General features: G+C 37.9%; 1 protein-coding gene and 1 non-coding gene across 7 annotated transcripts in view; both read right to left on the bottom strand.

Moving 5' to 3' along the window:
• Window positions 1-18,892, bottom strand: part of STAB2 (stabilin 2) — a 179,447-nt gene extending 160,555 nt beyond the window's left edge. For all 6 annotated transcript variants that reach the window (XR_007063104.1, NM_017564.10, XM_011538537.3 and 3 more), the window contains exons 1-3: window positions 18,608-18,892; window positions 15,135-15,268; window positions 11,655-11,770 (exon numbers count right to left, since the gene is read on the bottom strand). Coding sequence is in view for 5 of the 6 variants with exons in the window: in NM_017564.10 (NP_060034.9) it covers window positions 11,655-11,770; window positions 15,135-15,268; window positions 18,608-18,688 (331 nt within the window). In the remaining variant the exon portion in view is untranslated. The remainder of the gene's footprint in view (window positions 1-11,654; window positions 11,771-15,134; window positions 15,269-18,607) is intronic.
• LOC124900318 (U8 small nucleolar RNA) lies at window positions 13,922-14,053 on the bottom strand. The gene has a single exon (XR_007063621.1). It is a non-coding gene; the product is annotated as a U8 small nucleolar RNA (small nucleolar RNA).
• Window positions 18,893-21,431: the final 2,539 nt, after the last annotated feature.

Raw genomic sequence — 21,431 nt, 5'->3', positions numbered from 1 at the left:
AAACATTTAAAAAATTGCCAAAAACAAAGGGTGTAGCTAATAAGCCAACAAAGGAGACAAAAGAGGATCCTAAAAAAGAATTAATTAATACAAAAGAAGGCAAACAAAGAGGGCAAAAGGAACAAAGAACAGATAGAACAAACAAAATAAATAGCAAGATGATGGATGTAAACCTAACGCATTAAATATAAATGGTTTAAACAACCTTAATTAAAAGACATGGGCTGTCATATTAGTTGAAAGGGCAATAACTAACTATATGTTGCCTACAAGAGACCCTAACTATATGCTGCCTACAAAATTGTATATTTTAAATATACAATTATGTTAAAGGTAAAGGAGAGAAAAAAGCACACTAACATTAGTCAAAAGAAAGCTGAAGTAGCTCATATTAATATTAGATGAAGTAGATTTCAAATTAACATATTTTTACCAGGTATAAAGAAGTTCATTTCATAATGTTAATGGAATCAATTCATCAACAGAACATAAATCATAAATATGTATTGACCTAATAAGAGATTTTCAAAGTACATGAAACGAAAACTCATTGAACTGCAAGGAGAAATAGGTAAATATACAGTTAGAGTAGAGATTTCAGTACCTCTCTCTCAATAATCAATAGAACAAGTAGTCTTAAAATTATTAAGGATATTGAATCATATTTCTTATAAAAATAAAAATAAACAATTATTAAGTATAGAAAAGACTTGAATGGCATTATTAATCAATTTGACCTAACTGACATTTACAGAATACGGCATCTAAAGGTGGCAGAATACACCTATTTTTCAAGAGCACATGAAACAGTTGCAAAGACAGGAGATATTGTAGGTCATAAAACAAGTCAATAAATTTAAATGGATTCAAATAATGTATGTGTTCTGACCACAATAGAATTAAATGATAAATTTCCTTCTAAGCATGGTATTAGCTTAACCTCACAAATTTGATATCTTAATTTGCATTCACTGAATAAAAGAAACATATTTGGAAACAATAGCAGGAATATATGTGAAAAATTATTCTATTTGGAAGTAAAATATTATACATAAAAGTAACCGATTTCAAAGAATAAATCAAGATGGAAATTAAAAATTACTTTGAACTGAATAAAATTGAAACACAACATTTCAACATTTATGAGATGCACTTAAAGCAGTGCTTACAAGGAAATTTATTGCACTAAATAAATACTATATGAGAAAAGAAGAAAGTTTTTAAATAATGACTCAAACTTACAACTTAAGGTAAAGAAGTTAGAAAAATAATAGCACATGAAACCCAAGCAAGCAGAAGATAGGAGGTATAAAGTGCAGTGGCTAATGAAATAAAAATTAGAAAAGCAATAGAGTAAATAAATGAAACCAAAAGCTGGTGAATGAAATGGATGAACTTATAGCCAGACTAATAAGAAAAAAAAGAGAAGATGAAAATTACCAATCACAGAAATGAGAGAGGGGACATCACTACAAATCTTGTAGACATTAAAGGGATAATAAATGAATATTATGAACAAGTTTATGCCAATAAATTTGAGAATGTAGATAAAATGGACAAATGTATTGAAAGTAAAAAACTAGGAAAGCTCACTCAAAGGAAATAGATAACCTGAATGTTCTTATATCCAAGAAATTGAATTTAAGGTTAAAATCCTTTACACAAAGAAAATTCCATGCCAAATGGCTTTGTTGGTGAATACTATCTCACATGTAAGGAAGAAGTTATATCAGTTTTACAAAAACTCTTCCAGGTAATCGAAGAGGGAATATACCTCAGTTTACTCAATATAGGGAGCATTATTATCCCGATTCCAAAACCAAATACATAACAAGAAAAGAAAACTATACACCAACATCCCCAATGAGTACAGACACAAAATTTTTAAACAACATTATAGCCAACTGAACCTAGCAATATACAAAACTGATAAATACATCATGGTAAGAGCAGTAAGGTTAAAAAATGACATAAAATGAATGCAGATTAGAAATAAATAAATAAAGTTGTCTATTCACAGACAACATTATTGTCTATGGAGAAAATTCCAAAGTATCTCCAGAAAGTTATTAGAACACATCAATTTAGTAATTTCTCAGGATATGAGGTCAATATACAAAATCAATTCTATTTCCATAAACTAGCAATGAACAATTAGGGATTGAAATTTCAAAAAACTGTTAGAAGTAGAACCAAAAGCCATGAAGAACTTAGGTGTGAATCTGATAAGAATTCTGCAAAATTTGTAAGCTGAAATTTATACAACAGTGATAAACAAAATAAAAGAAGTCCTAAGTAAATGGAGAGCTACGGGGTCGTTATGCACAGGAGGAAGCAATATTTTTAGATGTCAGTTCTCCCTAAATGCATCTATTGATTTAATGGAATTCGAATTAAAATCTTAGGAGGACTTATTTTGTTGTTAGAAATTGACAAATTGATCCTAAACTTGAATGGAAAAGCAAAGGTACTAGAATAAGCAAAATAATTTTGAAAAAGGTCAAGTTGGAGGACTTACACTACTTCATTTTAAGGCTTACTGTAACACCATAGTAATCAAGACAGTGTGGTATTCATGGAAGGATAGACATATACATCAGTGGAACAGAATAGAGGGTCCAGAAATAGACCTGTACATAGACAATCAATTAATTTTCTACGATGGTCCAAAGGCAATTTTATGAGGAGAGGATCATCTTTTCAAGAAATGTTGCTGGAGTTTTTGAAATTATCTATATGCAAAGAAATGAATCTTGATCCATACTTCAAACAATATACAAGAATTAACTTGGAATAGGCCGGTGCGGTGGCTCACGCCTGTAATCCCAGCACTTTGGGAGGCTGAGGTGGGCAGATCACGAGGTCAGGAGATCGAGACCATCCTGGCTAACATGATGAAACCCCGTCTCTACTAAAAATACAAAAAATTAGCCAGGCGTGGTTGCGGGTGCCTGTAGTCCCAGCTACTCGGGAGGCTGAGACAGGAGAATGGTGTGAACCCGGGAGGCAGAGCTTGCAGTGAGCCGAGATCGCGCCACTGCACTCCAGCCTGGGCAACAGAGCGAGACTCCATCTCAAACAAAACAAAACAAAACAAAAACAAAAAAAAGAATTAACTTGGAATGGATGATAGACCTGAATGTAAAGCCAACTACAAAGCTTTGAGAAGAAAATATAGAAAAAAATCTTTGTGATATGAGGTTGGTCAAAGATTTCTAGATATGATACAAGAAGCAGTATCTATAAAAGCATGATACATTTGAACCTCATCAAAATTAAGAATGTTTTCTCTTCAAAAGGCAATGTTACGAGACTGGAAAGACAAGACACAGACTGGGAAGAAGTATTTACAAAGCACACATCTAATATCTTAAATATTTAAAGAACTCTCAAAACTCAATAATAAGAAAACAAACAACCCAAAAAATATATAAATAGCAAATAAGCGCATGAAAAAATGCAAATTAAAATGGGTTAAAATGCAAGTCCACTACACATCCATTAGAGTGGCTATAAAAAATCTGATTATAGCAATTGCTAGCAAGGATGCCAAACAACTGGACTCCTCATACATTGTTGATAGAAATGAAAAATAATATAGATACTTTGGAAAACAGTTTGGCAGTTTCTAATAAAGTTGAACATATTTTTACTCTACAATCCAGGACACCCGCTCCCAGGTATTTACCAAAATGAAGTGAAAACTTACATTCACCCCAAAACCTGTGTGTGATTGTCCGTGGTGGCTTTATTCTTAATTGCCCCAAACTGGAAACAAACCCAGATGTCTTTCAGTTAGTGAATAGCTAAACAAACTGTGTCTAGCCACAGAATGGAGTACTGCAAAGGATTATAAAGGAAAGAAACTACTGATACAGGTAATGACATGGATGCATCTCGGATTCATTATGCCAAGGGAAAGAAACAAGACTTAAAAAGGTACATACTGGTTACATACTGTATGATTCCAATTATATGACATAAAGGCAAAATTATAGACACAGAAAACAGGTTAGTATTTTCCAGGGATTGGGAGTTGAAGGAGGGCTTGACAACACAGAATTTGGGGGGATATGCAACTGTTCCCTATCTTAATTGTGGCGGTTGCCACACAACTCTTCAGGTTTGTCAAAGCTTGAATAGCTGTATACTTAAAAGGTTGAGTTTTACTGTATGCAAATCATGATAATAAATTTTAAAAAATCTATTAGCACTGATCATGTGTCTCAAAGACTGGTGTGGAAAAGGCAATTAATATCCAAAAAATGATTGATTAAATTCCATTTCTATTTAGACCTTAGAAACATCCTTTTCTATAGTTTATTCTCACTGGAAAGGAAAACAAATTCAGACACTAGATTCATAAATGTCTATTTTTAAACACAAGGTAAGTTATATAATTTCCTACTTTCAATCGAGAAATCTTTCAATTTGAATGTTTTAATATAGTTGCAAGAAAATAAATGTTCAGGAGGCATTTCTTCAGGTTCAAATAGCCATCTAGCAAAGCATTGCTGAGCACATTCCAGAAGCCAGAGCTTGGTCTTTAAGGGTTTCTTTTTCTTTTCTTTTTGACATGGAGTCTCGCTCTGTCACTCAGGCTGGAGTGCATTGACGCGATCTTGGGTCACTGCAACTTCCGCCTCCCGGGTTTAAGCAATTCTTGTGCCTCAGCCTCCCGAGTAGCTTGGATTACAGGCACCCACGACCATGCCCTGCTAATTTTTGTATTTTTTGTAGATCTGAAATTTTACCATGTTGGCCAGGCTGATCTCAAACTCCTGACCTCAAGATATCTGCCCTCCTTGGCCTCCCAAAGTGCTGGGATTACTGGCGCAAGCCACCTCGCCCAGCCCCTTTAAAGGTTTCTTGACTCCCCCTTTTTTTTTTCCTCTTTTGTGCTGCCCTTGCTTTATTGTTGTTGCTGTTATTTTAGCAATGTAGACCCTGGGTAGCATGCCAAGCACATTACGTGCACTATCTCAGTATTTAATCCTCACAATAGCCTTATGAAGTTGTTATCTAAGAGGAAACTGAAGCCTAGCAAGGTTTGGTAACAAGGTCACAGCCACTAGGCTCAGAGATAAGGATTCCCATTCAGCTCTGGCTTGTAATTTTGTTTCTCTGTATGGACTACTTATAATATTTTGCATAGATTTTACATTCATTTAATTGATTCATTCAACATTTGTTGAATGCTTACTATTATCTTCAAAGCTGGCAATAATTTCTCTTCATATTTTCACAAGAAAGTGAAATAAAATTTAGCCAGGACAGGAAGGAATGTGCCTGTCTCTTGCTGTGGTCAGGAGTTCCACAGTTCTTCAGGTGTCTGCCTGTAGCTGTGCAAAGGGTGAAGGCATATGCTGGCTGGATATGCTATCTCCTGGGGGCTTTCTTGAGCCACAACATCAAATATTCTGCAATGGATGTGAGGTTTTCTCTATAGGAGGTGCTTCACCCTGGCCCAGCCCTCTTGCCTAGTGGCTTGTGACCCAATGGACGAAAGGCCAAGGTGAATACTTATTGTTATGGCCTGAATGTTTGTGTCTCCCTAAATTCATATGTTGAAGCCCCTGACCTCCAATGAGATAGTGTTTGCAGGTGGGGCCTTTGGGAGGTGTTTAGGTTCAGATGAAACCATCAGGGTGGAGTCTCTGTGATGGGATCAGTATCCTTATAAAAATAAGGAAAACCGGAGCACTAGAGTGCCCTCTGTCTCTCTTTCTCTCATTCAACAAACATCTGTTGTTTCAGCCACTCAGTCTATAGTATTTTGTTGTAGCAAACTGTAGCTGACTAAGAGATCACCTTCTTTACACTCCTCAAGCACAGGCCTTTGCTGTGGCCTGAGACATCAGTGTGACCCATTGGGTCCACCCATAGAAAGGCAGACAATCATGAGAAAAACAATACACATATGGGACCATAAGCTACACAAAGAAATGAGATGTACAGAAATGTCCTTACCAAAGTGCTGAAACTATGTAGGAAATTAGTTATCAGCTTAATGAGAGAATTTATTGAGCATGTACTATTGCCAACCACTTTTCATGTAGGTTCTCATTTTCACATCTAAATGAGGAAGGTATTATTATCTTCATCACTCAGATTATAGGTAAGAATACTGAAGCGAGGTAATTTGCCCAAGATTACATGGTCGTTAAGAGTTGGAACTGGCATTGCAATCAGGCCTAACTTAAGAATTTGAGTCCTTAAGCCTGAAGGCAGAGTATAACAGGTCAGCACTTTAGAATATAAAATCAAGTCAGTAAACACTCCCTGAAATAAAGAGGCCCACTGGTGATCTGAGAAACACAAAAGACAGAAATGCTAACCAACATGTTCTGGAGGCTTACCATCCACCAGGCACATCTTAAGTGCTTTCCACATACTAGCTCACCTCAGTGCAGTCTTTGGAAGGTGGGTGTGTTAGCATCATGAGGAAGATAGTACCAAAGAATAGGGTTACCAGGTAAAATACAGGATACCCAGTTAGATTTAAATTTCAGATAGGCAATGAATATTGTTTTAGCATAAGTACATCCCTAATATTGTTTGCAGATTAGTTAGTTATCTGAAATTCAAATAGAACTGGGTGCCCTGTATTATTATTTGCTAAATCTGGCAACCCTGCAGAGGGAGTAAGTCTCAGAACTGAAATAGAATAAAGCTGGGAATGGAAGCCAGGAAATCTGACTCTGGAGTCTGCAATCTTACTGTAAAACCATGCTGCCTCTCAGAAGGGAGCTCAGGTGTCATGGAACCAACCCCAGGCAGAGCAGGCACCCAGCTAATGGTGGAAGCAAGAATTCCAGGGGTGGGCTTTGGGCATCCTGACTTTCCTAATGCAGGAGGCTTTACCATTATAAGCTGTCAGCAAATCAGCTGGTCTGTTTCTTTAAAGGAAGATAATACACTTCCTGCCCCACAAGAGACCAGGGACTTCTCTGTAACTTTATCTCCTAAGAAACTCTAGAGGTGCCTATTCCATGTCACCACCTTTGTTTAAAAGCTTGGTGCACAGTGCTAGGCAGAAAATATGTCCCAATATTCCAGGTATTTTGGAAAGCAGGAGAGAGTAATGAACTAGAACTGGGGTCTGCAGTGAGACAGTCCCTGTTTCCTGGTGTGTGGCTCCACACTTGTTAGCTGGTTCTCTTTGGGCAGGCTGCAAAACTCCTCAAAGTCCCAGTGTCCTCACCTGGGCTCACAGGTACAATTGTTTTTACTCCTCTGCTCCCATGTCAATTTCCCTCATTAGTCTGTGAGCTCCTTGGGGATAGGGACTTATCATACATGTGATTGGGAATGGGGTCTATCATATATCTGATTGTACGCAGCATATAGTAGGTGCTTAATAAATGCTTGATTTTTTATGAGCTGGCCAACGCTGGAAGGAACTTGGGAGAAAAGGTAGCAGGAATGTGGGGGTATGAGGAATCCTCATTTTATGGCCTGGATAGATTGTTTTAACAATTTATGAAAACAGCTCATTTGGTTTTTAAACAAAATTTTTAACGAAAAAGTGTAATTTATTTCCTGCTTTTCATATCATCTTCTATCATCTCAGGCCCCCATTAGAGAAAACTATGGTAAAATTGACATTCTTAGCAATGATGCTTGAAAGACATATTATATAATTTGCTATAAGGGCAGGTTTCCAATGCATTGTGATGCTCAAGAAGCTGATAAGACTATTCTAGGTCATTATCACATTTCCTTGGGTCACCACTACTCTGGTGGTCTCTTGCATCCTGACTTTCCTAATGCAGGAGGCTTTACCATTATAAGCTGTCAGCAAATCAGCTGGTCTATTTCTTTAAAGGAAGATAATACACTTCCTGCCCCACAAGAGACCAGGGACTTCTCTGTAACTTTATCTCCTAAGAAACTCTAGAGGTGCCTATTCCATGTCACCACCTTTGTTTAAAAGCTTGGTGAACAGTGCTAGGCAGAAAATATGTCCCAATATTCCATTTATAGCTCTTGTTGGATTTGTCTGCCTGGGAAACTGAAGTGAAATATGTTCTTTAAGTGAACTCCGCATTATTTGTCACTCAGAGCAAAAAAGGAAATGCCTAAAAGGATGGTTTCAAATCCTTGTGGTCTATTATTTGTAACCTGGGTAGTGAATGGCAAGAAAAATGCAGTGAGAAAGAAAAAGAGGCCTGGAAATGCAAATAACATGATATAAAAAATAAATTTAGATAATTTGATGACATTGACCTAAAAAAGAAAAATCAAGACTATTTCTTTTTGAAATAATCAGATTGTTTTGTCTACAACTGAGTTTGGGTGTAACTCCTTTGCACATGTTCATTTTCCATTACTTTGAGTTGTTACACAAATCCATTAACGTTCATGGCAGAATAAAAAAAAAAGTAAGATGTTCAAATTAAAAAATCGATTTCATCCCAAATAGAATATCGGCTGTTCAGACATGATTAAGTTTCAAAGTAGAAATGTATTTTTGTGCTAATGAGGAAAGATCTCCATGTGCACATTTGATAAAGTAGTATAAATTTTAATTAGGGAGAAGCAGGTTACATTCAGGTAGAAATACCTTCCTTATGTCAAGATAATATTATTTTTTTCCCCAAGTGAGAATTCATGCTTTATTCTTAATTTTAGAAGATGATAGTAATTTTTTTCATTGCGCTTCTTTACCTTCTCCAAGTTTTCAGCGTTGACCATAGGGTGATTTCCCAATTTGAGTGAGATATATTAATTTTTGAAATAACCCAGAAGTGTTACATATGAATGTATTTGTCAATGCATTAAAAAGGAAGTGGATGTTCCATTTGCTTTGGAAACAAGGCCATTCTGGAGCTTGGGAATGTGCTTCCTCAGAAAGAAGGATAGACCCACGTCAGCAGCTCTGAAATGGCCTTATCCTTACGGAAATGTAAAGTGATAGTCAAGGTTTTGCTTGTCATCACCACAAAATGTGAGAGGTAAAATATACTGCCAAGTAGAGGTTTTATCTTTTTCCCTAGCCAAAGGAAGGAAGCCTTTCGAGACATCTAGTGTGTTTGGAAGATGAAGATAAAGAGGAGTACCGTTTTGCCCCAGTGAAAGGACAGTAGAAATAATGTCCAGGCCTCAGTTTTCATGTTTTGCTTCCCTGGCTTTGAGGCCTGTTTGAAGGAAATGTTTGAACATTCAAAGAGCCCTTTTGGACTCTTTTTTTTTTTTTTTTTTTTTTTTTTGAGATAGGGTCTCACTCTATTACCCAGGCTGGAGTGCAGTGGCATGATCTTGGCTCATTGCAACCTCTGCCTCCCAAGTTATTCTCCAGCCTCAGTCTCCCAAGTAGCTGGGATTAGAGGCACATGCCACCATGCCCAGCTACCTTTTTGGACTCTTTTGGTTGTAGATGTGGACCTTGCCTCATTGGTCTGCACATAGCACAGTGTGATGGCATAAACCTGCTAAAAGATCTTGAATCCTTTTTGCCTGCTCATGCTTTAAGAGTTACCCACTGTTAAAAAAGGGTTCAGAGGAGTGTCATTTTATTCATCTTTCATTATCAGAGGTCTATTTTGACTTTGAGTCACCCATTCATTTATTCATTAAACACTTACAAAATTCCTTCTTTTTGTCATAGACTTTGCCAAGTCTTATCACCTAGGTTAGTGTTTTAAAATCTCAACTACAGTTTTGTAAAGTAGGACTTTTAGCCCCCATTTGACAGATGAGGAGAATAAGGAGTAGGCAGAAAGTCACTTGCCCCAACCAGTAAATGGTGGGATGAAGTTCTAGCTGCTGGCCCAGTGTTCTTTTGCCCTCCTGGCTGTTTTCTGACATTCATATGTCGGACATGCTGACTTTTGTACTGCATCTTTGACAAAGCCGTTCCTTGTCTTCAATGTTTCTGATTAGTAACTTAGCATCAGATTTGTTTTTGTGGGTTAGAAAGAGAAAAGCAAATCTAAAAGTTCTTTCTATTGTATCAAAATGTCTATGAGAACTAGACATGATCATGACCACATTTGGCACAAAAAATGTTCTTAAAATCTGGAAGTCGGAGTTAATTGCTTTAAAAGACACTGAATTTGATTAACAGAGTTAATTGCTTTAAAAGACACCTGATTCTTATTTGCTAAACTCTTAGAAACATGCTGTGCCAACATGCTGAGGTAAAACTGAGCATAGAGCAGCTAGTAGACAGAAGCGGCAGGATCTCTTGAACCCCAAACCTTGACCTTTCCAGGGCAAGGAGTCTAATCCAGGCATTTCCTGGGAAGGCAGAAAGGACCTGCCAATCAAAAAAGACATTACCAACACATTTTGAGGCCCTGCTTTTTGAACAGGTTTGCTCTGGACAGTAGGACAGAGCAGAAAGAGGTAGGCTTTGGTGCCAGGCAACTTTGAACTTGAATTTGCTTTATCACTTACCAGTCCAAAGGAAACTGGCAAAATATAATTTTAAAATCTGATTTCTCATAGGCAAAATGGGGATAAAAATGTCTAACTCAAAGATTTGTTTTAAAAATTACATCTGGTAATATAAGCTGAGTACCTCTCTGGTACCTAATGTCAGCAATATTGAGTAAATACAAGCATTTATTCATTTAATCGTTAGTTAAAAACACAAATAAACAAACAAAAAACCCAAAAGACATTATACATACAGTATGGATTCAACTATTTACAAGTTATATGGAAAAAAACCCAAGACTGAAACATGCCAAAATATTTAAGGTTTCCTATATGCGACAGAATACAAATTGATATTTTTTCTTTCTTTATACCTTTGTAAACTTTACAAGTGTATATAATTTGCTTGTATTACTTTAATCAGAAAAAAAAACAAAGCAAAAGAGAACCAATCTCTCCTTTTATGTGGATCCTAAGGAGATGTTTTCATTACATCTAAGAAGATGGGGAATGAATTGCAAATTCATAAATTAAAATACCTGATTTTTTCCTACCAAAAAAAGAAGACTTTACATAATTTCCACAGGTAGAAATGACTCAGTCACTATTTGAGTGTTAGTATCTATACTAAGGATAAAAGTTCAATTTCAGCTATCAAATGCTATGCTTGATTGCAGAAATCTAACTATACCATTGATTCAGACTTTGCTAGTAGTTTTGCTTACAGTAAAACCTGGTCAGAATTAATTTTTATGTATATGTGTATTTGCATCTCTACACAATTAACTTTACACAGTTTCTTTACCCTGATGTGTCTTAAATCTACCACTTGAAAGTTTGATATTCCATCCTAAGACAAATTTTTAGAATATTTAATTATTATTTTGGTTGCCAAACAATAACTACAGTCTTTGAGACATTGTAACAAAATTTCTTCTTAAAGAAAATTGTATTTGGGGGTCCTAATAGCCCAGGTTTTGACTTCCTTTCTTTTGCAAATATCTTTTAAAATAAAAATGGGTATCCTTTCAATTGTCCCTTTTTCTGGCTTATAAGGGAATTCTTTTAAAGAGAGATCTCTATCAGCAGTAAAGCAGATTGCTTTGTGAAAGCTAACAGGGCAAGAAAGATTTTCTACATATAGACTAACACAGAAATTTCTACAAACGGATGTTAACATTCTTCTTTTTATTGGGCTTCCTTCATCTCAATTTTCTACCAAATGAGATACCAAGAAGCAAGTCTCAAAGTCCAAGCATTGTGCCACTTACCTATACAGTCTGGGCCCCAGCGGCCAGGACAACACCGAGGTTGGAGATAGTCCTTCCTACAAATATGGCGGCATCCGGGGAGAGACAGAGAGTATGTTCTGACCTCAAAGGTGTACCTTGGAGGGTAAAGAGAGGACATTAACCCACGATAAGAGCAATGCAGTTACTCTAGGTGGTAGAATTGCCTTAGCTTTCAATTTAGGTCTTAATATTTATCTACAGTTAAAAATATCTAGATGGAACACATTTGGCTTTCTAGGTAGCATAAAACTTAATTATGATTATTTTTAATTGTAAGAACTGGATGAAAAAATCAGAGAACAATGAACATACGGGGGAAATATCTAAAGTGATATCAGAAGTGAAGTTAGTAGATGAAATAAATATTAAGGCTTAGGCACATGCTAGAAGTATACCTAAAACTTATCACTGAGTATCCTAGCAGTCAATGCAGGAAGGGAGAGATCATGAGTTACAAAATGCACAGTATGTGTGGATTTAAAGCAAACCCATTGCTCAGGCTTAGCATATTTATTGGAGATATTGCAGATGTAGAAATGCCTGTGGCAAAGGCAGTATAATGCAGCAAGGAACATTTCCCACAATATCCTTGTAGGAGATAAAATGATGAGTTCCTTAGAAGAGTTTCTAGTGCCAGCTGAGATATAGTTCTGGAATAACAATTCTATGGAGGTTAAACACTATTGTCTATTTAAAGGGATCTCTGCAGGCATGGCTTATTCTAGGATTAGACTTAGTGTATCTAGAGACAATCCTTCATAAATGTTGTTTCTTTCCATTTCTTTCAACTGGGCTGCTGTTAAGAATAACATGATGATGAATTCAAGGTTGTCCTCTCAAACCCATCCTTGAAATACAGCTGATTAATAGCACAGTCACATACTTTACGAACAGTCAAGTTGGGGATAGAGTTGACTTTTTTTGAATGGTTGAGAATACTGGCAGGGACACTTCTTCACGAAGGTGGGCAGAAGGAGAGTCCAAGGGCAGGACCAAATATCCCTTCAGGAACTAATTTTGAAAGAATACAAGTGGCCAATAGGTGTATAAAAAGGTGCTCAACATCACTAAACACCAGGGAAAGGCAAATCAAAACCACAATGGGATACGTCCTCACAACTATTACGATGGTTATTATAAAAAGCATGAAACAAAAGGCAACAAGTATTGGCAAGGATGTGGAGAAAAGGGAACAACTGTACACTGTTGGTGAGAATGTAAATTGGTATAACTGCTGTAGAAAAAAGTATGGAGGTCCTTCAAAAATTAAAAATAAAACTACCATATGATCCATTAATCCTACTTCTGGTTATATATCCAAAAAAATTGAAATTAGGATCTTAAAGAGATCTCTTCACTCTCATGTTCACTGCAGCATTATTCACAATAGCCAAGACATGGAAGCAACATAAACATCCATCAATGGATGAATGGATAAAGAAAATGTGGTATATACATACACTGAAATATTACTCAGCCCTCAACAAGAAGGAAATCTTGTAACTTGCGACAACATGGATGAACCTAGAGGATATCATGCTAAGTGAGATAAGCTAGACACAGAAGAACAGATACTATATGATCCCACTTATATGAGGAATATAAATAGAGTGGAATGGTGGTTGTTAAGGGTTGGAAGGATGAGAAAATGGGAAGGTATTGTTTGCAGGGTACAAAGTTTTGGTTATGAAAGATGAAAACATTCTAGAGATTTAGTGCCTAAACAATAACATAATATATGCTTAAACATTGCAAAGACAGGAGATCTTATGTTAAGCGTTCTTATCACAAAAAAGAGGGGGGAGAAAACTTTTGAAGATGATGAGTATGTTTATGACACTGATTGTGGTGTTGGTTTCATGGATTGTACTTATCTTCAAACTCATCAAGTTGTGTACATCAAGAATGTCCAGGTTTTTGTATGTCAGTAATATCTCAATAAAGTGATTTTCAAACAGAACGAAAGAACATAAAACAAAAGAACCAATCTTGAGTTTGTTCCAGCATAGATGAATGATAGACCAAAGTCATTAAATCTAAAACATTTCTGAATGCAAAAGTTTTATCCTGTGTGTGTGTGTATGTGTGTGTGTGCTTGTGTGTTTGTGTATTGGAACATAACCAAGTGTCCACCTTGGCAATGAACAAAAAAGTAGCCAGTACAAAAAAGTTTTCAGCTTTGGCAATTGAGTGTTAACTGCTGCATATGCTTGCTAATTTTTTTTTCTTTTCTTTTTTCAGAAAGAATCAGAAGCAATCAAGGTGTTACAAGTCCTGATTATGCAGAGACATTAATCACGTATCATACGAACTTCAATCATCGTATTAGAATCTAACCTCCAAAAGGAGGAACAGGTAAAAGTTATCCCATCTGATGATACCCACTGCTTGCTAATTCTAGGTTAGTTAATGCTGGGAAACTTTTATTTAAAATGATGATTTTGATTTTAGAATATAGTGTGGTCACATTAAGCAAATGTGAATTTAAAATAGTGTGATATAATAGTGTTAAGATTTCATTTCATGCAAAATAAAAAAAAAAATCCTTCCATCCGGAATTAAAAGCAAACTCATTGAGTACTATCTAATTTCTAAAGAAACAGGCTGCGCAAATACAAATTGCATTTGCAGTTGAGCCCCATGGCTGCACCCATTAGCTAGTGAGCAGAACCACTTGTCATCCTTTGCCAGAATTAGCCTTGAGTTATCAGAGTTTTGAATCCCAAGAGGTCTTCAAGAATGCAAAGTTTACATAAAATGCAACCATGCTGCAATTCATCTTTCCCCCTTCTTCGACTTCTAATTAGTATCAAGGTCCATAGCTGAAGAGATGACTATCACACTCAAGGCTTTTAACACATTCAAGACTAGAATTCTTTCCAAATTAAATAAAACCCAGATTTTCAAAATACAGGCAAAATGAAAAGAGAATGTTTATGTGCAATACAAAATAAGTCAATTTTGTATTAAAATGTGAATGAATAACAATATATATTTTATTTTTTGAGATATAGTTTCACTCTGTCACCCAGGCTGGAGTGCAGTGGCTTGATCTCGGCTCACTGCAACTTCCTCCTCCTGGGTTCAAGCGATTCTCGTGCCTCAAGCTCCTGAGTAGCTGGGATTACAGGCAGGTGCCACCAGGCCTGGCTAATTTTTGTATTTTTAGTAGAGATGAGTTTTCACCATGTTGGACAGGTTGGTCTCGAACTCCTGATCTCAAGTGATACTCCCATCTCGGCCTCCCAGAGTGCTGGGATTACAGGCATGAACCACCACACCTGGCCAACAATATATATTTTATATATTTTAGACTTAAGTTCATAAATTGTGAGTTACCTAAGTTTGGGCTTATTGTCTTAGAGCAAGAGAAAAGTCATGGAAATGCTTTGCAGTTTTTGAGACAGGGAGCTTCAAGTTGGATTCATAGTTCCATCACGTTTATTTTCTCATGAGTACCTGCAATCTCGAACCCCTACAGAGCCACTGGTAATCATGGTGTAACCATCCGGGCACTTGACTCCAAGGTTGAGAGCGCAGGATCGGCACTCGGTCCTAATTGTAAGAAGAGACTTCCTATCACATCTTCTTGCCTGTGTAAATATTAAAAAAAAGAACATTAATTCCTGTTATCAGAGTCTTGCAAAACATCTAGCATGGCCAATCTTCTCCACTGGAATGTCTCCAATCATCTCAATGGAACGTCAGGGATGGTGATAAGGTTGATTGGTAATGACTGGTTTGCTCCTTTCAATCTTATCTGGAAAGAGTATTGAGATTAATAAGCAATGTCTGCCATGGCTGTAGGTGAAATAAGAGCCACTGTTTGTACCATACATTTGCCATACCTGAGATAGAGTCTGAAATCTAGCAAGGTAAGATAATGTTATTACCCACATTTATCCAAGTGGGGAACCTGAAATATATGGCAGAATACACTCTCAAGTGAAAAATTTGTAAAGCAGGTTATTCAAGGTCAATTGGTCATAGATCAGCAGATCTCAAGGATGTTCTTTCATCATTGATTCCACAGGAATGTCTGCTCTGGAGCCAGCACTGTGCCAGTGCCGTGGAGGATACAGTTACTATTTCAGAGATATTTGCAATCTTTAGATTACAATCCAACTGAAAAGTAGGCTTCCAGAGAGCAGGGATCTTTCTCTGTTTTGTCCACTGTTGTACCTAAGCCCTAAAATAGTATCTGATGCATAGCAGTGCTCAGTGAATATTTGTTGATTAAACAAATGAATTGGGGAAATCAGATGTGCTAGAAACAGTTATTTAGCAACATAAGGTGGTGGATATGTAACTACTAAATTGAATGATCCAGACCCAATTTGGCACTCTTTAGGATCCCCTGTTGCTCATAATGCCGAGGCTGATCCTCCCCGAGAGATGCCTCCCTTTCCTCAACTTTTCTTCATTTCCTCATCAAGCTTAAGATGGAGCAGCTTTGTACAACAAAGAGAGACTAAACTTGGGGATCAAAAGACCTAAGTTTGGAGTCAAACTCTATATCTTGCTAAGTGTACAATCTTGAATGAATTGCTTACCCTTTGCCATCACCTATAAAGAGGAGATATTAATAACCACTCTTGAGGTTATTGAGACCTTTAAATGATGACGGTCACTTAAGCAGGTGCAAATTTCCTGGCAAAAATGTCTGAAGTATCACAGGTGGTGAATGCTGGCTGCTGTAACTCTTCACTCACCTTTGTGCCTGTTTCCTCTCCTAACTGCCATGTTCTCACTGGGCTGCTGAACCATATCCTTCAAGACCCTGTTTCACACCACCTCTTTCACAAAACCACATTCATTTTTCTTCCTTTTCTCAACTTCTACTCTTCCTGTGGCTGGCCCAGTGGAGCACATTTTGTTGGTTTTTGCACTCCATTAAAAGACACCTGATTCTTATTTGCTAAACTCTTAGAAATATGCTGTGCCAACATGCTGAGGTAAAACTGAGCATAGAGCAGTTAGTAGAGAGAAGGGGTAGGATCTCTTGAACCCCAAACCTTGACCTTTCCAGGGCAAGGAGTCTAATCCAGGCATTTCCTGGGAAGGCAGAAAGGACCTGCCAATCAAAAAAGACATTACCAACACATTTTGAGGCCCTGCTTTTTGAACAGGTTTGCTCTAGGCCATAGGACAGAGCAGAAAGAGGTAGGCTTCTTCTTGGGCAGGATTGTGTCTCATGCTTCTGTATTATCCCACAGCTCATCCACGGGCCTAATAATAGGTTGGTCGTGGTGGAAATGTCACCACTGCTTCTAAGTTCATTGAAATATATAAAGCCTGCATAAAAAGAAACTTTACATCTTCAGAACGATTATTGGTTATGCATCCATTCAAAGGTATTATCTTATTTGATCTTCACTGCTCTGAAGATAAGTAGGGCAGGTATCATCATCCTCATTTTAGCTGGAAGAAAACTGAGGTGAGGGGTGTTGCAGTGACTTGCCCAAGGTCACCCTGTGAGTTACTGGTCTTGTGATTCCTTGATTAGCCCTTTCTCTTTCCTGCACCTGAGTGGAGTATAGAAAACTGAAATTTCTATTTTTACCAGGAGTTTTCATTTGGTGATCATCATGAACCAAAATAGCACTAGAAGGTTCTTTATTGAGTAATAACAAAAGCTACACTTAGATAGAGTTTGAATTAACCTCCTTTAATTGTCAGGACACCTTCACATTTTTTTTGAAAGCAAGCTTTTCTTTACATGAGGGTTTCACATTTGGATAAGTATGTGGGGTTACAGTACTTTGTCTTTTCTTTCTTTGTGGGCTAGATTTAAAACCCTCTTCTTAAGAAACATCTTGACCTTCAAATTGCCCTTTTCAAATGAAAAGGCTCATTGTCTGTCTCATACAGTATTGACAAAGTTGTCCTCTCTGAAAAGTAAATTCAGCTTATTTAAATTAGTTAAGGTCTGATTTCTGTGTGAATGCAAACACTTGGTGATAATGATGATGATGATGATGGTGATTAAGAAGATGATGATGGTGATGATAATTACTACCATTTGTGGAGCACTGTCAGGGGCGAGACTGAAGCTTGAAGAGATTAAAAAACGTGCTCAGGGTCAAACAGCTGTGGACGATCATGACTGATCCTCAGACCTATTTGTTAAACAGAAAAATGAGATCCACAGTTCAAACTCACCCCTACCAAATTTCAAAGCTGGAGCACTTAGCCATTAGGCCATCTTCCCATATTTTCATGAAAACATTATCAGAGCATGCAGCCAACTGTAATAAAATTGGTGTTGATAAAAATTTGCCTGGCACAGGTGCAGAATCATGGTTAAGATTCATTCTTGATGGATCAGAAATCACATGGTGTCTCACTGACAGCTGGCCTCACTCTGTGATGACACCTCGGTGAGCTTGCTTGAGGGTTCGGTGTGCTGATGTACTTCATAGGGGCTACTGGTAAGACCTCCCTGGGAACTTTTACTACAGCTCTGTGGAAGGCAGAAGAGATGAAAGGGTGAAGGCCTGATGATTTTGGAAATATTTCTGATACTTGTGTTCCTTAGTGAGATATCCACCCTGGAATTCCCCAGACCATCTCTCCACAGCCATAGTTATTTTCTAGTCAGGAAGATGGGATGGTAGATATTCACAGTAATGAGACTACTAGAACAAATGAAAAACAAGACGCCAACAGCTGCACTGGAAAGAGGATCGTTAGCACTAAGATTAGAGGTCCCAACAGCAGCGGGGCGCTTCAGTACAGGAAGAGCAACAAGTGGGTTAGCACACCTTCGGAAAGATGGTGCATCACAATTAGGACTTAGTCTCCAAAAACATTCTCTGTATTTTATAAAGTCCAGATTTCACCCTTTACCCATAACAACAGAGGAAAACGACAAGCTTTTGAACATATCATGACAATTAACAAATGAAAAAAATATGTAAGTCTCCTCTTACCTGCCCTGTGGTTTCAGCTGGGGAGCAGAAATTTTGTACAACCAATCCAAGACAAAAAATTACTAAATGTTGTAGCATCATGAGGAAATATTTGCTCCTTCTCTGTGCCAAGCACCTGTCAGGCTGACTTAGCTATTTTAACTTAGTTTGATAAACTCCCAGTGAATTCTTTCTCATTTCACTGTTTACTTTTAAATCCCTTCCTTTCCTTTTTCCTAGATCGAACCAGGAGATAGGTGAGACCTGCCTTCAGAAAGGAAAAATGGCAAATCCAGGAGTCTTGGTGAAATTGGCCACTGTAAATGGTCTATATATCCTGCTGAATGACAGGATATCCTGCAGGGGCTGAGGCAGAGGCTTGGCCCGGGATTTTTGTGCCTGCGAAGCTCTCAGAACGGTCCTGCCTCTCCTCTACTCTGCCCCCTCCTCTAGTCCTGCCTACTGCTGCCCTGCGGCCCTGTCAATGTTTCCACAACCACGCCATGGAACACTGCAGGCCTTTTGGTGCCAATGCAAAGGTCCAAGCTTGCTGTCGAGCGGGGTTGGGGGAGTGCCCATAAGTGAGCACGGTCCCAGGTATGGAATGAATGTTGCAGAAACCTTGCAGGAGGTGGTGGCTTCACCCTGGATAACCTCTACTGCAAAAAAAGTCTCCTTGCAGATGCTGACAGGTGGGTTTTTGACTCATTCTTTCTTCTTTTCCATGCCACTTCAGTAACAAGTGACTGAGCCTGTAGGTTCAATCTTACCCTTTAAGTTCCAGATCTAAAGCCACCCCTTCCAGGAAGCCTTCCTGTGCTGCCCCTCCACAGGACCCTGAAGATGCTCCCACAATTTTGCACATAAAGCCATGAAAGCCGAGGTCACATCTATCTGTCTGTCTCCCATGCCCAGCTATGAATGCCTTGAGGACAGAAGAATATAGCCTCATCTTCTCTGTACCCCTTGATTCCTAGAGCAGAGACCTGCACTTCAAAATAATGAAAACAGTTAAGGATAGTAGCCATCACTTTTTGAAAACTTACTACATGCTAGTCACTATTCTAGGCCTCTCCATGGATTTAGTTGTTTAATTCTCACAGTACTTGGTAAAACAGGATGATTCTTCTCATTTTACAGAGGAGGAAACTGAGGCAGAGAGGTTAAGGAATTTATCCAAGGCCACACAGCTAATAGGTGGTAAATCTAGTATTCAAACTATGTGGCTCCAGAGCCAGTACTGTCAACCACTGCCCTCTGCTGCTGAAACAATCAATATTTAATGAATAAATAAATAATAGATGGTATTCTCAATTCTATTGGAAACCATGATGGAAACGTGTCAGACCCAGCACCAGGAAGGATAAGGTTTGGACTTATTAACAAACCAGGGCATGTCTCATGACACTAAATTAAATGGGAGATTCATGCACTTACAGATACTAATTTTGGTTAAATGATCCTTTATTTCTCTACAAAGTTTCTCTCTCTCTCTCTCTCTCTCCCCCCGACTCCTTTCAACTTTTGAAACAACATTTATAATGACCGATAATCTAGGAAACTTTTCCAACATAGGCCCCTCAGAGGCCAGCCCAGAAACCTGGGTGGGGAGCTCAAAAAAAAAAAAAAAAGGCCTAATGCTTAGCTCCACTCCAGAATAACCAAATCAGAATGCCTGGGAGTGGCGCACAGGAGAATTTTCCAAAGCTTCCTGGGTGATTTCACTTGCGCTGGACTGTTGCTTGAGGAGAAATGGATTATGATTGTGTGAAGCCAGTGAGACTTTGATATTTATCTGTTACAGCAGCTGTGTTACCTTAAAAAATATAACAGGGACATAAATTGGATGCTTCTTTCTGATTCTTTTCTTTCTAAAGGATGTAGATAAAAATCTGGGGCTTGGAACAGGCTCAATTCCAGGTGAAATAATAAAATGAGCCCATACTAGCATTTCCTAAATAATGTTTTATTAAATACAATTTAGTTATGGAAAATGCTGTAGGGGTAGTGGGGAAGAATTCTCTCGCCAGATAATTTGGGACGCCTGTCTCTCATGTCCCTTTCTCATGGATTGGCCATGTTTGTTAGTCCATTGAAAGTTCTGAGAAGTCCTTTAAAACAACGCAACCAAATGAAACAAAAAACAGTTCAACTTTGCTTAAGGCAGCATTTCCCAAGCTTTTTAGACTAAGGGTTGCTTTCTGTTTTTGCAAATTTATATTGGCAACCTCCAGATTCTGTGTTCTATCAGTGTCTCTAAGGGAAATGCCATGTTAGACTTTAGCAGGTAGATTATTTCATTTTTCAGTTCCTAGAAGTGGAGGTTAGCCTGCCAGTGGCCACAGAGACCTGTGCATAGAGTTTATCAATTAGTTGCATTAAAAAATGCCTATAACGCACATGGCATCCTTTAGAAATTGTTTGAATAGGTGTGTTAATTAATTTTGTTTCTGCTAGGCTCTTTTGATTGCTATAAACAGGGATTCTTCATGTTATTTTAAATCCCTGTCCCCTCTCCCTAAAATGTGCCTGCAATTGACAAGTAAAGTGCTTAGACTGGTACCTAGCACACAATAGGTATTCAGTCACCCTTAACTATTACTCTACAGTTAAAATATGCAACAGACAGCAGCTATACAGACCTCTATCCTGAGCCCACTGTAGCTCTGAAGTAGGTCTGGATTTTCCCCTGTCCTGGGTTGTCTCAGTTTTGCTGATCCATGTGTCTGTGTTGGGTGAAATGTCACTTTCTTTATTGTCGTCTATATTCCTTTTGAAGGTTGTTGTAATTTCTGTCTCATTTCAAGTGGTTTTTAATCAGCAATATTCCATGGGCAGTGTGCTC

This window comes from Homo sapiens, chromosome 12, assembly GCF_000001405.40.
Source record: "Homo sapiens chromosome 12, GRCh38.p14 Primary Assembly".
Taxonomy (NCBI): domain Eukaryota; kingdom Metazoa; phylum Chordata; class Mammalia; order Primates; family Hominidae; genus Homo; species Homo sapiens.
This window is presented reverse-complemented; position numbering and strand designations above follow the sequence as displayed.